We start from the raw sequence: 15,878 nt of genomic DNA on the forward strand, positions 1-15,878 counted from the left end.
TATCTTTGCTTAAAAATCATGTGTGCATTTGTGCAATAGTTCTGCCTCAACAGGTCTTACCTGCCACTCTCTTCCCTAGGGAAGCAGCAGAGTGGAATGAGACAGGCCTGTGTCAAGAGTAGAGGGCAGAGTCCTGCAGTCCAATCCCAGCAGAGAAACTTAGCTCTTGGGTAAGTAATCCTGTCTGTGATCTGACGCCTCTGAGCTTCCCTTTCCCGATCTTTCAGATTGTGGGGAGGGGCAGGGTAATGCCTACCTATTAGGGTTCTTATAAGAACAGGAGACAAGATGTTGAAGGCCCTTGGGCCGAGAGGCTGTTGGAGCAAGTGTGAGTGGGCTGGGGGCCTTAAGGCTCCTGGCTCCAGAGAGATGGGGAAAGTGAGGACCAGGTAGGGAGGCACCTGCCCAAGGTCACCAAAGAAGTCACAAATTTTCCAGCACCTGGTGAGGCTGGCATTGTCAGAACCCTAGCCTCTGAAAGCCCCTGAGCAGCACTGAATGTATAGCCAGGGCCTGGCCAGGAGGCTGGGGTGTTGTCTAGGCAGCTGTTTGCAAGAAATAAAGAGCCTCTGCCAACACCCTTCCTTTCCCTGCCAGGGAAGGAAATGAGAGAACTGGGCTGCGTTTACCTATTTCAGGTTCCAAAACTTTCAACTGTTTTTAGACAGTAAAGGAGCAGCGAATTTTTTTTTAATTGAAGGAAAGACAAAAAGAAGTTCAAGACATGGCCAAGTACGTATCTTATTCCCTCCAGACACATAGCTTTGATTTTACATCCTTAAACGACGGGAGAAGATAACTCTATAATGACAGCATCCAGACGTGCCCAGCAGCAGACCACAGGCAAAGACAGCTCAACAGTAAAGCCCTTATTTCCTGTGTCTCTGCCCTAAGAGAGGATGTCACCATGTCATGCAGAGTCTCTCTCCGTGAGGCCCCTAATTCTATTTGTCCCCTGAATACTATTGGATTGTGGTCCCAATTACCATAAGTGCATATTTATTGAGTTCTTTTATTTAAGAAATAAAGGGACAAGCTAGCTATGGAGCAATTGAGATAATCAACTGCTTTTGACATTTCAATCTGTGCAACTTTCTCAATTTGTACTCTGACCTCAAAGCTTCCTGTGCCCCAGGGTCCTGCTCGCAGAAAGATTTCCATATCTCCTTCCAAGACCTGCACCACCTGCCCACACCTGCTCCTAGCCCTGCTACCCTTGTACTTGGGTTCTCTCGCTCCCTCAGGCAGCAGCAACAGCATCACCCCATGAGCACCACACTTTTGACTTTACAAGGTTCTTGCACGTGTTAGTTCCTGTGACCTCTCAACAGTCCTGGGTAGATGGCAGAGTGAGATTTATGAGTCCCTGTTCAGAGGAGGAAATTAAGACTTAGAAAGGGGCAATAGCACCAAAAGCACACATCTGGAGGTGCTACTAGTGGTGGAAGAGCTTAAAGTCATTGCCATGCCCTCTGCCTCCTAGCTGCAACTGCATCTTGCATCCTTTGGAATGCTGGGAACACCTGGAGATTCCAAAGGACTTCTTTTGTTGATGTCACTGCAATGAAGCCTTCCTTGGAATCACAGTGTGTAAGTGCCACATGAAAAACAAAACAAAACAAACCTGACATTTGTACACCCATGTTGAGAGCAGCATATTCACAACAACCAAAAAGTGGAAACCGCCCAAATGTCCACTCATGATGAATGGATAAACCAAACATGGTACACACATACTATGGAATATTGTCCAGCCTTAAAAAGGAAGGAAATTCTGACACGTGCTACAACATGGATGATCCTTGAGGACATTATGGTGAGTGAAACGAGTCAGTCACAAAAGGACAAATACTGTAGGATCCAAATTTGGAAGGGCCTTAGAATAGTCAAACTCATGGAGACAGACAGTAGAATGGTGGGTGTCAGGGGCTGGTGGAGGGGGAGTGGGGAGTTAGTCGTTGCTGGGTATAGAGTTTCAGTTTGGGAAGATGAACAAGTTCTGCAGAGGGATGGTGGTTAACACTTAAAGATGGTTAAGATAGCTATTTTATCTTATGTGTATTTTACCACAATTACAAATGTATTTAAATATAAAAATCTTGAGTGTCCACATCCCTTATCTCTTCCTCTCATTACATCACAGTCTGTTGAAAAAACCCTTTAGTGCCCACTGACTGCATGAACCATAAGGGCCACACTCCTGAGCTCAGTCTACAGATTTATCCACCTCTTTTCCCTTTTGTGCATGTGATGCTGCAACCAGTCTAATTTTTCCAGTCTCCTGCCTGGAGGGAAAATATTCAGGTGCCAGTGTTCTGGGAGCCAAGAGGGTCAAAGGTGACAGGGTTCTCTGCTTTCAACATTTGGGTTACATGCATTCACACAATCCCTTGTTTTGTGGAGAGGCTACTGTCCTCCACTTTTCCTGGTGTCCCCAGTCTGGAGACCCTCTGTTCAATCCTCTCCGAGAATAACTTCACCATGCCCCAGTCCTGAGGTAACTGGGGCTGCCTGTTCTTGAGCCAGTGGAAAACTCTGTGATGTAGATTACGTTGCTCCTCAGCCATCCCCACTGCCAACCTGGATTCAGCTTCCTTGGGTCAGCTAAGTCAGCTACTCCTGGTTCATCTCTCAGCTTCTGAAATGCTGTTATGCTTGTCTCCCTTTCCATTCTTTCTGTCACTGTGAGATTGTTTTAAAAAATACTGATTCTCCTCTACTCTACTTATGATGGGGTTGTGTTCTGATAAACCCATGGTAAATTGAAAATGCACATTTGATTTATAATATTTTCAGTTTACGAGTTTATCTGGATGTGACTCCATCTTCAGCTGAGGAGCATACTGAATACGTGTTGCTTTTGTACCATCCTAAAGTTGAAAAATTGTAAATTGAACCACTGTAAGTTAGGGATTGTAGGTAATCCTTTACTGTGCTTCTGGGAGGGAGTGAAACTTAGATGCACATGACCATTCTACCATGTTTACCTGAACTTTGCTCTGAATGTTAAATAACTAGCAGAAGTAAGCCAGGAGACACCAGGAAGACAGCATTTCAGACAGAAGGGGCAGCATCGAGGGGGAGGAGCCAAGATGGCCGAATAGGAACAGCTCCGGTCTACAGCTCCCAGCGTGAGCAACGCAGAAGACGGGTGATTTCTGCATTTCCATCTGAGGTACCGGGTTCATCTCACTAGGGAGTGCCAGACAGTGGGCGCAGGTCAGTGGGTGCGTGCACCGTGCGCGAGCGAAGCAGGGCGAGGCATTGCCTCACCTGGGAAGCGCAAGGGGTCAGGGAGTTCCCTTTCCGAGTCAAAGAAAGGGGTGACGGACGCACCTGGAAAATCGGGTCACTCCCACCCGAATATTGCGCTTTTCAGACCGGCTTAAAAAACGGCGCACCAGGAGACTATATCCCACACCTGGCTCAGAGGGTCCTACACCCACGGAATCTCGCTGATTGCTAGCACAGCAGTCTGAGATCAAACTGCAAGGCGGCAACGAGGCTGGGGGAGGGGCGCCCGCCATTGCCCAGGCTTGCTTAGGTAAACAAAGCAGCCGGGAAGCTCGAACTGGGTGGAGCCCACCACAGCTCAAGGAGGCCTGCCTGCCTCTGTAGGCTCCACCTCTGGGGGCAGGGCACAGACAAACAAAAAGACAGCAGTAACCTCTGCAGACTCAAGTGTCCCTGTCTGACAGCTTTGAAGAGAGCAGTGGTTCTCCCAGCACGCAGCTGGAGATCTGAGAACGGGCAGACTGCATCCTCAAGTGGGTCCCTGACCCCTGACCCCCGAGCAGCCTAACTGGGAGGCACCCCCCAGCAGGGGCACACTGACACCTCACACGGCAGGGTATTCCAACAGACCTGCAGCTGAGGGTCCTGTCTGTTAGAAGGAAAACTAACAACCAGAAAGGACATCCACACCAAAAACCCATCTATACATCACCATCATCAAAGACCAAAAGTAGATAAAACAACAAAGATGGGGAAAAAACAGAACAGAAAAACTGGAAACTCTAAAACGCAGAGCGCCTCTCCTCCTCCAAAGGAACGCAGTTCCTCACCAGCAACGGAACAAAGCTGGATGGAGAATGATTTTGACGAGCTGAGAGAAGAAGGCTTCAGACGATCAAATTACTCTGAGCTACGGGAGGACATTCAAACCAAAGGCAAAGAAGTTGAAAACTTTGAAAAAAATTTAGAAGAATGTATAACTAGAATAACCAATACAGAGAAGTGCTTAAAGGAGCTGATGGAGCTGAAAACCAAGGCTCGAGAACTATGTGAAGAATGCAGAAGCCTCAGGAGCCGATGCGATCAACTGGAAGAAAGGGTATCAGCAATGGAAGATGAAATGAATGAAATGAAGTGAGAAGGGAAGTTTAGAGAAAAAAGAATAAACAGAAATGAGCAAAGCCTCCAAGAAATATGGGACTATGTGAAAAGACCAAATCTACGTCTGATTGGTGTACCTGAAAGTGATATGGAGAATGGAACCAAGTTGGAAAACACTCTGCAGGATATTATCCAGGAGAACTTCCCCAATCTAGCAAGGCAGGCCAACGTTCAGATTCAGGAAATACAGAGAACGCCACAAAGATACTCCTCGAGAAGAGCAACTCCAAGACACATAATTGTCAGATTCACCAAAGTTGAAATGAAGGAAAAAATGTTAAGGGCAGCCAGAGAGAAAGGTCGGGTTACCCTCAAAGGAAAGCCCATCAGACTAACAGCGGATCTCTCGGCAGAAACCCTACAAGCCAGAAGAGAGTGGGGGCCAATATTCAACATTCTTAAAGAAAAGAATTTTCAACCCAGAATTTCATATCCAGCCAAACTAAGCTTCATAAGTGAAGGAGAAATAAAATACTTTATAGACAAGCAAATGCTGAGAGATTTTGTCACCACGAGGCCTGCCCTAAAAGAGCTCCTGAAGGAAGCGCTAAACATGGAAAGGAACAACCGGTACCAGCCGCTGCAAAATCATGCCAAAATGTAAAGACCATCGAGACTAGGAAGAAACTGCATCAACTAACGAGCAAAATCACCAGCTAACATCATAATGACAGGATCAAATTCACACATAACAATATTAACTTTAAATATAAATGGACTAAATTCTGCAATTAAAAGACACAGACGGGCAAGTTGGATAAAGAGTCAAGACCCATCAGTGTGCTGTATTCAGGAAACCCATCTCACGTGCAGAGACACACATAGGCTCAAAATAAAAGGATGGAGGAAGATCTACCAAGCAAATGGAAAACAAAAAAAGGCAGGGGTTGCAATCCTAGTCTCTGATAAAACAGACTTTAAACCAACAAAGATCAAAAGAGACAAAGAAGGCCATTACATAATGGTAAAGGGATCAATTCAACAAGAGGAGCTAACTATCCTAAATATTTATGCACCCAATACAGGAGCACCCAGATTCATAAAGCAAGTCCTGAGTGACCTACAAAGAGACTTAGACTCCCACACATTAATAATGGGAGACTTTAACACCCCACTGTCAACATTAGACAGATCAACGAGACAGAAAGTCAACAAGGATACCCAGGAATTGAACTCAGCTCTGCACCAAGCGGACCTAATAGACATCTACAGAACTCTCCACCCCAAATCAACAGAATATACATTTTTTTTAGCACCACACCACACCTATTCCAAAATTGACCACATAGTTGGAAGTAAAGCTCTCCTCAGCAAATGTAAAAGAACAGAAATTATAACAAACTATCTCTCAGACCACAGTGCAATCAAACTAGAACTCAGGATTAAGAATCTCACTCAAAGCCGCTCAACTACATGGAAACTGAACAACCTGCTCCTGAATGACTACTGGGTACATAATGAAATGAAGGCAGAAATAAAGATGTTCTTTGAAACCAACGAGAACAAAGACACCACATACCAGAATCTCTGGGACGCATTCAAAGCAGTGTGTAGAGGGAAATTTATAGCACTAAATGCCTACAAGAGAAAGCAGGAAAGATCCAAAATTGACACCCTAACATCACAATTAAAAGAACTAGAAAAGCAAGAGCAAACACATTCAAAAGCTAGCAGAAGGCAAGAAATAACTAAAATCAGAGCAGAACTGAAGGAAATAGAGACACAAAAAACCCTTCAAAAAATCAATGAATCCAGGAGCTGGTTTTTTGAAAGGATCAACAAAATTGATAGACCACTAGCAAGACTAATAAAGAAAAAAAGAGAGAAGAATCAAATAGACACAATAAAAAATGATAAAGGGGATATCACCACCGATCCCACAGAAATACAAACTACCATCAGAGAATACTACAAACACCTCTATGCAAATAAACTAGAAAATCTAGAAGAAATGGATACATTCCTTGACACATACACTCTCCCAAGACTAAACCAGGAAGAAGTTGAATCTCTGAATAGACCAATAACAGGCTCTGAAATTGTGGCAATAATCAATAGTTTACCAACCAAAAAGAGTCCAGGACCAGATGGATTCACAGCCGAATTCTACCAGAGGTACAAGGAGGAACTGGTACCATTCCTTCTGAAACTATTCCAATCAATAGAAAAAGAGGGAATCCTCCCTAACTCATTTTATGAGGCCAGCATCATTCTGATACCAAAGCCGGGCAGAGACACAACCAAAAAAGAGAATTTTAGACCAATATCCTTGATGAACATTGATGCAAAAATCCTCAATAAAATACTGGCAAACCGAATCCAGCAGCACATCAAAAAGCTTATCCACCATGATCAAGTGGGCTTCATCCCTGGGATGCAAGGCTGGTTCAATATACGCAAATCAATAAATGTAATCCAGCATATAAACAGAGCCAAAGACAAAAACCACATGATTATCTCAATAGATGCAGAAAAAGCCTTTGACAAAATTCAACAACCCTTCATGCTAAAAACTCTCAATAAATTAGGTATTGATGGGACGTATTTCAAAATAATAAGAGCTATCTATGACAAACCAACAGCCAATATCAGACTGAATGGGCAAAAACTGGAAGCATTCCCTTTGAAAACTGGCACAAGACAGGGATGCCCTCTCTCACCGCTCCTATTCAACATAGTGTTGGAAGTTCTGGCCAGGGCAATCAGGCAGGAGAAGGAAATAAAGGGTATTCAATTAGGAAAAGAGGAAGTCAAATTGTCCCTGTTTGCAGACGACATGATTGTTTATCTAGAAAACCCCATCGTCTCAGCCCAAAATCTCCTTAAGCTGATAAGCAACTTCAGCAAAGTCTCAGGATACAAAATCAATGTACAAAAATCACAAGCATTCTTATACACCAACAACAGACAAACAGAGAGCCAAATCATGAGTGAACTCCCATTCACAATTGCTTCAAAGAGAATAAAATACCTAGGAATCCAACTTACAAGGGATGTGAAGGACCTCTTCAAGGAGAACTACAAACCACTGCTCAAGGAAATAAAAGAGGACACAAACAAATGGAAGAACATTCCATGCTCATGGGTAGGAAGAATCAATATCGTGAAAATGGCCATACTGCCCAAGGTAATTTACAGATTCAATGCCATCCCCATCAAGCTACCAATGACTTTCTTCACAGAATTGGAAAAAACTACTTTAAAGTTCATATGGAACCAAAAAAGAGCCTGCATCGCCAAGTCAATCCTAAGCCAAAAGAACAAAGCTGGAGGCATCACACTACCTGACTTCAAACTATACTACAAGGCTACAGTAACCAAAACAGCATGGTACTGGTACCAAAACAGAGATATAGATCAATGGAACAGAACAGAGCCCTCAGAAATAACGCCGCATATCTACAACTATCTGATCTTTGACAAACCTGAGAAAAACAAGCAATGGGGAAAGGATTCCCTATTTAATAAATGGTGCTGGGAAAACTGGCTAGCCATATGTAGAAAGCTGAAACTGGATCCCTTCCTTACACCTTATACAAAAATCAATTCAAGATGGATTAAAGATTTAAACGTTAGACCTAAAACCATAAAAACCCTAGAAGAAAACCTAGGCATTACCATTCAGGACATAGGCACGGGCAAGGACTTCATGTCCAAAACACCAAAAGCAATGGCAACAAAAGCCAAAATTGACAAATGGGATCTAATTAAACTCAAGAGCTTCTGCACAGCAAAAGAAACTACCATCAGAGTGAACAGGCAACCTACAACATGGGAGAAAATTTTCGCAACCTACTCATCTGACAAAGGGCTAATATCCAGAATCTACAATGAACTCAAACAAATTTACAAGAAAAAAACAAACAACCCCATCAAAAACTGGGCAAAGGACATGAACAGACACTTCTCAAAAGAAGACATTTATGCAGCCAAAAAACACATGAAAAAATGCTCATCATCACTGGCCATCAGAGAAATGCAAATCAAAACCACTATGAGATATCATCTCACACCAGTTAGAATGGCAATCATTAAAAAGTCAGGAAACAACAGGTGCTGGAGAGGATGTGGAGAAATAGGAACACTTTTACACTGTTGGTGGGACTGTAAACTAGTTCAACCATTGTGGAAGTCAGTGTGGCGATTCCTCAGGGATCTAGAACTAGAAATACCATTTGACCCAGCCATCCCATTACTGGGTATATACCCAAATGACTATAAATCATGCTGCTATAAAGACACATGCACACGTATGTTTATTGCGGCATTATTCACAATAGCAAAGACTTGGAACCAACCCAAATGTCCAACAATGATAGACTGGATTAAGAAAATGTGGCACATATACACCATGGAATACTATGCAGCCATAAAAAATGATGAGTTCATGTCCTTTGTAGGGACATGGATGAAATTGGAAACCATCATTGTCAGTAAACTATCGCAAGAACAAAAAACCAAACACCGCATATTCTCACTCATAGGTGGGAATTGAACAATGAGATCACATGGACACAGGAAGGGGAATATCACACTCTGGGGCCTGTGGTGGGGTTGGGGGAGGGGGGAGGGATAGCATTGGGAGATATACCTAATGCTAGATGACACATTAGTGGGTGCAGCACACCAGCATGGCACATGTATACATATGTAACTAACCTGCACAATGTGCACATGTACCCTAAAACTTAAAGTATAATTAAAAAAAAAAAAAAAAAAAAAAAAAAGAAGGGGCAGCATCAGTGAGTTCTTGGAGCTGTAAAACAGTGTGGCCTGTGCAGGAAACCTAGGTGACGGAGGGCGCATGCTCTTTGTAGTGTGCTGTCATGGCCTTCCTTTGCCAAACTCAAAGTTGGACACAAGGGGCTTGGAAAGCTGTAGCGATGGCTGGTGAGGACCAGACCTGTACCAGGCTCCACAGCACATGCTTCCGCTGCTGTCTCCAGACTGTGGCTTGCACTTCATCCAGATCATTACTAGCCGGGCCATCAATTCTCAGAACATGGGTTTCTGCCTGCTTTGACTGGCCTGGTTGAATTGATGAAGCAATGAACTGGTTCCTTCACTTACTTGAAATTTGAGAATTTAAGTTTTTGGTTTGTTTGTTTGTTTTTTGTTTTTAATAATGCCTCAATTTAGGGTTGCTTTGATGAATACATAGCCACAAAATAGTATCAGTGGTTACACAGGCACCAAGAAAAATGCAAATGCTGTGCCTTGTTCCCATCATGCCTGCCACTCTTTGCAATGTAATATAAAATGCAACTGCTGGGTGCCAGCAGTGGTTATTTCAAAAGGCTCATTCAGTTGCTTTTTAACTCCTAAGTCTTGTGGCTTTCACTAGCATAACCTAACCTAACCTAACCTTACATAACATAACAGCACTTCAGATGTGACCCACACAAAGTTCAATCATCCAATGGCAGAAATCAATAGAAAAAAAAAATGTGCTTAGGAGGATTGGCTTGGTTGCAGGATTGGGACTAAGGTGAGGTGAGTAAGTCACTTGCCTTACACACAAGATTTAAGGGGATAGTCAAGATAAATAATATTTCAATGCAAAATTTTAAAAATTCAAATTGACAAACTATGCCCAAGAAATGGGCAGCTTGTTTTTGTAAATGAGGTTTTATCAGACATAGGGCCAGGATTAGAGTGAGACAAATGAGGCATGGTTGTGCAAGTGCAGGGTTGGATTCTGTCTTGATTTTAAATTTTCATATTTTGCTCATGGAATTTTAGCATTAATTTTGAGTTTTATAATATTGCATCAAAATAGAATTTATTTTAATTACTGAGGTTTTGGGTGTCCCTTTAAATTTTGCAGCCAAGGTGAGTGTCTCCCCTACCCTACCCTAGTCCTGGCCCCACTTGATGAAACCAAACTGGAAGCTGCTCTCCAAAGGCTTCCGTTCTTCAAACCTGGGGACCTCGTCAGTTAAAGTCAAAGGCACAAATGAATTCCTCCTCAGAAACAGCTAAGGGGAGCAGAGTATCAGATTATGAATCTTGCCTGCATATGGTACTTTAATATCCATAAATTTTTCCTTTTTCCTTTGTTACAGTCAAGTCCCAGAAGAAGTTAAAATGTGGACCTTCGAACCAATAAATACAAAGATCAAAGTCTAATTTAATTATGATCAAAGTCTAATTTAATTATGACATACACATTAAACCTAACTTGAGAGATGGACAAATGGGACAATTTGGGTGGAACATGTGTATATACAGATATGTCCCCACCTAAGCTTTTTGGCATAAACTAGCTTACACTCAGGTGAAATCCCATCTCTATGTAAAAAGTTTTGAATTTATGGTATTTGATTATTTTCTAAAGAGATAGAGCCTCTTGAAATTATGGTTCTTCTTTGAGCACATAGGCATAATTGAGATATCATAATTGAATATGCATTCGAGACATGCATTTCATACATGAAAGAGCTGAACTGGGTCACCTAAGACATCTGGAGATATCTTTAAAGTGTGAAGCTGCTAATATTTGCAATGATGGACATACATCCTTTGCAGCATGGGTGCAACTGCTTTCTGGGCTCCAGTGACTTCCCTAGTGCTACTGTAATCTACTAAGTAAATGAGCATTTTTTAATAAAGAGCAATTTGTCTAATGAGCAGGGTTGGTTACTCACTGTGGAAACACAGCATGTGATTAAAATTACACTAGCAGAATAAAGCAGAGCAATTGAGTCGTTGACAGCCCCTTCCCATAACCTCATTTAAGTCTTTCTCCTTCCTCAGAATAGAGCTCTAACTACAAACTGCATACAGAAGCATCAGGCATTGTCATGCCTTGTGATGGCTCCCATCCAGTGCCAGCAGGACTAACTGAAGCTTCAGGCCCCAGAGAATAGGGCCAGCCCCAGAAACAGTTAGGAAGGTGGAACGCGGTACCAGGAAAACAGCAAGCCATCAGTACTGGGGAGTCAGACCTCAAGTGGTAGCCATACTGCCAAGTAGCCATGGCCCAGCCACAAGAAATTGAGGAACCAGCAAGCCTCAGGACACATTGATCAGATTTTCTTTAATAGTCATGTTTGCAGCTAAGATCTGTAAAAAGAGTTGGTGGGGAGAGGAAAAAAATAGATTAGGATTTGATATTATTATCTGAAACATCTGCCTTGAGTTTTAGAGGATGTCAAAACCAAAACTAATTGCCAGGTAGATCTAGAGGGCTGTTTAATATTTTAGTTGGTAGATTTAATTAAAGAGGTTAGGAAAATCAAAGTATAATTCATTTTGGACTAGTCAAATGGAATGCATCTGATTAATTTCTCAGCAGGTAGACGGGCCTCAGCCATCATGTTAGCTTTGAAGGAAGGACTCAGGCCATGGGGGAAGGCCTGACAAGAGCAGGGCATGGCTTCTGTCTTAGGAACCGGGCTGCATTTCAAGACAAGCCCATGGCCCTGGACACGAGATTCAGTTGTAATGACTGGGACATGAAGGGAGTCTTGCTCTCCACTGGTAGCGGACCTGAGTCTTGGGTATAAGGTAGGAGGAAGCAAGGAGGACTTGGTGTCACAGTCTTGTTGCCGCTGGCTCCTGCCTCAGGACACAGGGGTTCTGTTGCCTGGTGTGTGCCCAGGTGGGCCCAGCTCTTGCTGAGGCTGCCAGTTAGGCACCTACCCCTGTTGTTAGTTTCCTAGGGCTGCTGTAACAAAATATCAGAAACTTTGTGGCTTAAAACAACAGAACTTTACTCCTTCACCATTCTAGAAGTTTGAAATCTGAAATCAAGATGTTGGCAGGGCCACATTCCCTCTGAAGGCTCTAGGGGATAATCCTTCCTCGCCTCTTCCAGCTTCTGGTGACTCCAAGCATTCTTTTCTTGTGGCCACGTCACTCCAATCTCTGCCTCCATCTTTACATGGCCTTTTCTCCACTGTCTGTGTCTTCTCCTCTTCCGTCTCTTATGAGGACACTCTAAATCCAGGATGATCTCCACATTTCAAGATCCTTTGTTTAATTATATCTGCAAAGACCGCTTTTCCGAATAAGATTGCAATCACAGGTTCCAGGTGAACATATCTTTTGGAGGGACACTACTTGAGCCACTTCACCCTGAATTTTGAGTTTCCTATTCGTTCCACATCGCTCTGTGTGGAGACTACTTGTATTGGCACTGTTGGTGTGGCTGCCCAGCTCCTTTCAGAGTGTTCAGAAGCCTGATGGATATCCAGTGCTACTGCTCAGTGGGCCAAAATGTGGACAGGTCAAGGCCCAGACATTGAAGGCATAGTTCTGACACTCTCATCATGCTACAGCTGGGGTGTTTGCCATAATTGCTACTAATCATAGTGAAAGCTTTTAAAAATGGTTTTACAATCTTCTTCTGGAAAATTTTTTTCTCCATTCATAATAAAATGAGTGTTTTAATGAACAAGAGGGCATTCAGCTCCACACCTCCATTTCTGTTAATTTTAATTTTTTTTTCTTTTTTTTGAGATGGAGTTTCGCTCTTGTCGCCCAGGCTGGAGTGCAATGGCGCGATCTCGGCTCACTGCAACCTCTGTCTCCCGGGTTCAAGTGATTCTCCTGCCTCAGCCTCCCAAGTAACTGGGATTACAGGTGCCTGCCACTATGCCCAGCTATTTTTTTTTTTGTATTTTTAGTAGAGATGGGGTGGCACTGTGCTGCCCAGGCTGGTCTTGAACTCCTAACCTCAGGTGATCTGCTCACCTCGGCCTCCCAAAGTGCTGTGATTAAGGCGTGAGCCACCATGCCTGGCTTTGTGTTCCTTCTAAATTAGCAGGTACATACAGGGAAAAGAGGTTTGGCTTGGACATCAACAGATATGGGTTCTCATCTCAGCTCAGGCACTACCAAGGTGTGTGACCAAAGCATATGTACTTTCCCTCTCCGGGCTCGATATTCTTCAATTGTGAAATAAAGGATTAGGAAATGTGTTCTCTGAGGACCCTTCCACAATTGAGCCTCTTTACTTTTCCGTTGGTGGTGCTTCTGGAGAAACTGCTTTGCGCCGGTCAAAGCCAAGTTGAATTAAGACAACGATGTGAATTTCCATGTCTCCTACACCAGGAATTGCTGACCTCACTCCACTTCCCTACTCTAGCCCCCAGATGTAGTAACATTCATTTGGGATAATTATTCTCTCCAGTAGGCCTGCCTTGACTCACGTCTCAGCCCCAGGACTCCAATGGCCTTGTTTCCTAAGAGACCTGAACCCAATGGCCAGACCTCTCTTCCAAGAGAGGAGGGGAGACTGAGGCCAGAAGAACCATGTGCATGACTGCAGTGGCTCTCCCCATACACCCAGACACACACAACATGGTTTCTCAGGTGCCAACACCTGGAGCTAGTTTATAATTATTTCTCAAGTTCTCTGAGTTTGACTCACCTCTTTTCAAATAAATGGATGTTTTCCTGTGGCTCAGTTATTATTCTTTCCATATTGAAGTTAGTAATATATGCTCACTGAAGAGGGAAACAAGATTTAGTTTTACAAATTCCTACAAATTACGTCGACTAACACAGATGAAACAAAATCACTAACACAGATGAAACTAACACAGATGAAACAAAATTCTGTCAATATTTTCGATATAAGAAAACCACAACACGTTTCTCTTCAAAGCTACTTCGACAACTCCCTTCCCACAGGCCTTGGCATGTGAAGGCTGCACTTACTCCCACAAATTCAGAGGGCTCTTGGATGAGTAAAAAGTGGTACCCAGGTTCTGCATCCATCCCAATCACTTACTGGCTTCATAACCTTGGACAAGTCATTTCCCATCTATGAGCTTCGCATCTCTTCTCTGAAGACAGGGTCATGGCGTGCCTGGCCTGGCTACCTGCTTAATCCACAGTGCCACCATTACCATCAGAGGTTAAGGCCACCACTAGGAAATCACAACCAACTATCCGTTGCTGTTCACTTTATCCACTAGACAGGGCCTCCGAAGTACATGACCCAGGGCTACCACTCACATGGAGTGCACTGTGAACAGAGCTCCCTGGAGTGTGGCACTGGGAAGAGGACTGGCCTATATCACAATCTGAGGCAGAAAGAACTGCTTCTAGGTCTCCTTGTTGTATGGAGGAAAAAAATATTTGATTGGCCTATGGGGTCTCTAACTGACCCTCATGCTTAGATAACATTTGGTGATCTATAAAATGGTTTCAAATCAATTATTTTATCCATCTAGCCATCCTGTGAGGCAGAGCTTATTATCTTCATTTTCTAGAAAAGAAAAGTAAAGATCAGAGAGGTTGGCTGACTTTCCAAAAGTCTACAGCTCATAAATGATGGACCTGGAGCTTACACCCAAGAGTTCAGGCTTCCAGATGTTCTTCCCACAATTTAAATAAGCTCTGAGTTTGAGGATGTGGACATAAGCTTAGAGGAAATTTTATCTATATATTTATTAATTTATTTATCCATCTAATATTTATTGAGCAAATACTAACTAGAGGTTTTTGCTGTCCCAGGTGGGGCATTGGGCTCTTCATTTAAACTGAGGGTCAATCAAGTCAGATGTCAGGTTTGCTTTTTTTTCTCTTTCAGTCATAGATATAAGCATGTAGTCAGAAGATCAGAATTTTGTTTTAGAATAATTTCAACATCTGTTTGCAAGGGAGGATTGTCTTCTAATTTTCCATCTATTTTTCTTTGCTATCTGAAGTGGCTCTGTGCATCGTGGTTAAGAGTATAGACCATAGATTATGGACCTAAATTGTCTGAGTTCAAATCTTACCTCCACTACTTGCTAGCTGTATGACCCTAGGCAGGTTACATACCGTCTCTGTTTTCTAATAAGTAAAATAGGGATAATATCAGTAAGCTACCTTATAGGGTTGATGGGAGAATTGAATGAATTCGTATTTTCCAAGTGCTTAAAACACTGCCTTGCCCATGGTAAGTGCTATATAACTATTTGTCATTATAACCATCATTGTCCTTATGATAAGAAGATGGAAAAGAAATGAGGAAAGACTCAGGAAAATCACAGGGAAAGTGGCAAGTAGAGCGGCATGATATAACTAAACATAATCAGACAGACCTTATTAAATTATCTGCAGTATCTCACCCTCCACCACAGGCAGCAACAAATCCAATAGAAAAAGATGCCTTATGTCTGCCCTGCTTTCTATTGTTTGGTCATTGAAGATAAAACCCATCTGTTAGAGAGAAACACTCAGAAAGGGCTGTTTTTGACAAATGCAGTGCAGAGGGGTATATAACTACTTGTATGGAGGATTACGCCTGTAGCCACCATACCCAGGGCAATCCCTTGTCCTCCCTACCCATCTGAGATGTGTTGGTTCATGAGAATTCCCTTGGTTAAGGACACAAATTAATTAATCTAGGAAAACAAAGCTCTTTTCTTTCATCCAGATTTTTAAGTCCCAACAAAGTTCTCAGTATGGTTTCTTCTTCTGTGAATTCATCACCACTGTGGAAACGAGGTAAGAGCGCTGGACCACCCAGGAGTGAGATAATCTGG

The sequence above is a fragment of the Homo sapiens genome, chromosome X (genome assembly GCF_000001405.40).
Source record: "Homo sapiens chromosome X, GRCh38.p14 Primary Assembly".
NCBI classification, from domain to species: domain Eukaryota; kingdom Metazoa; phylum Chordata; class Mammalia; order Primates; family Hominidae; genus Homo; species Homo sapiens.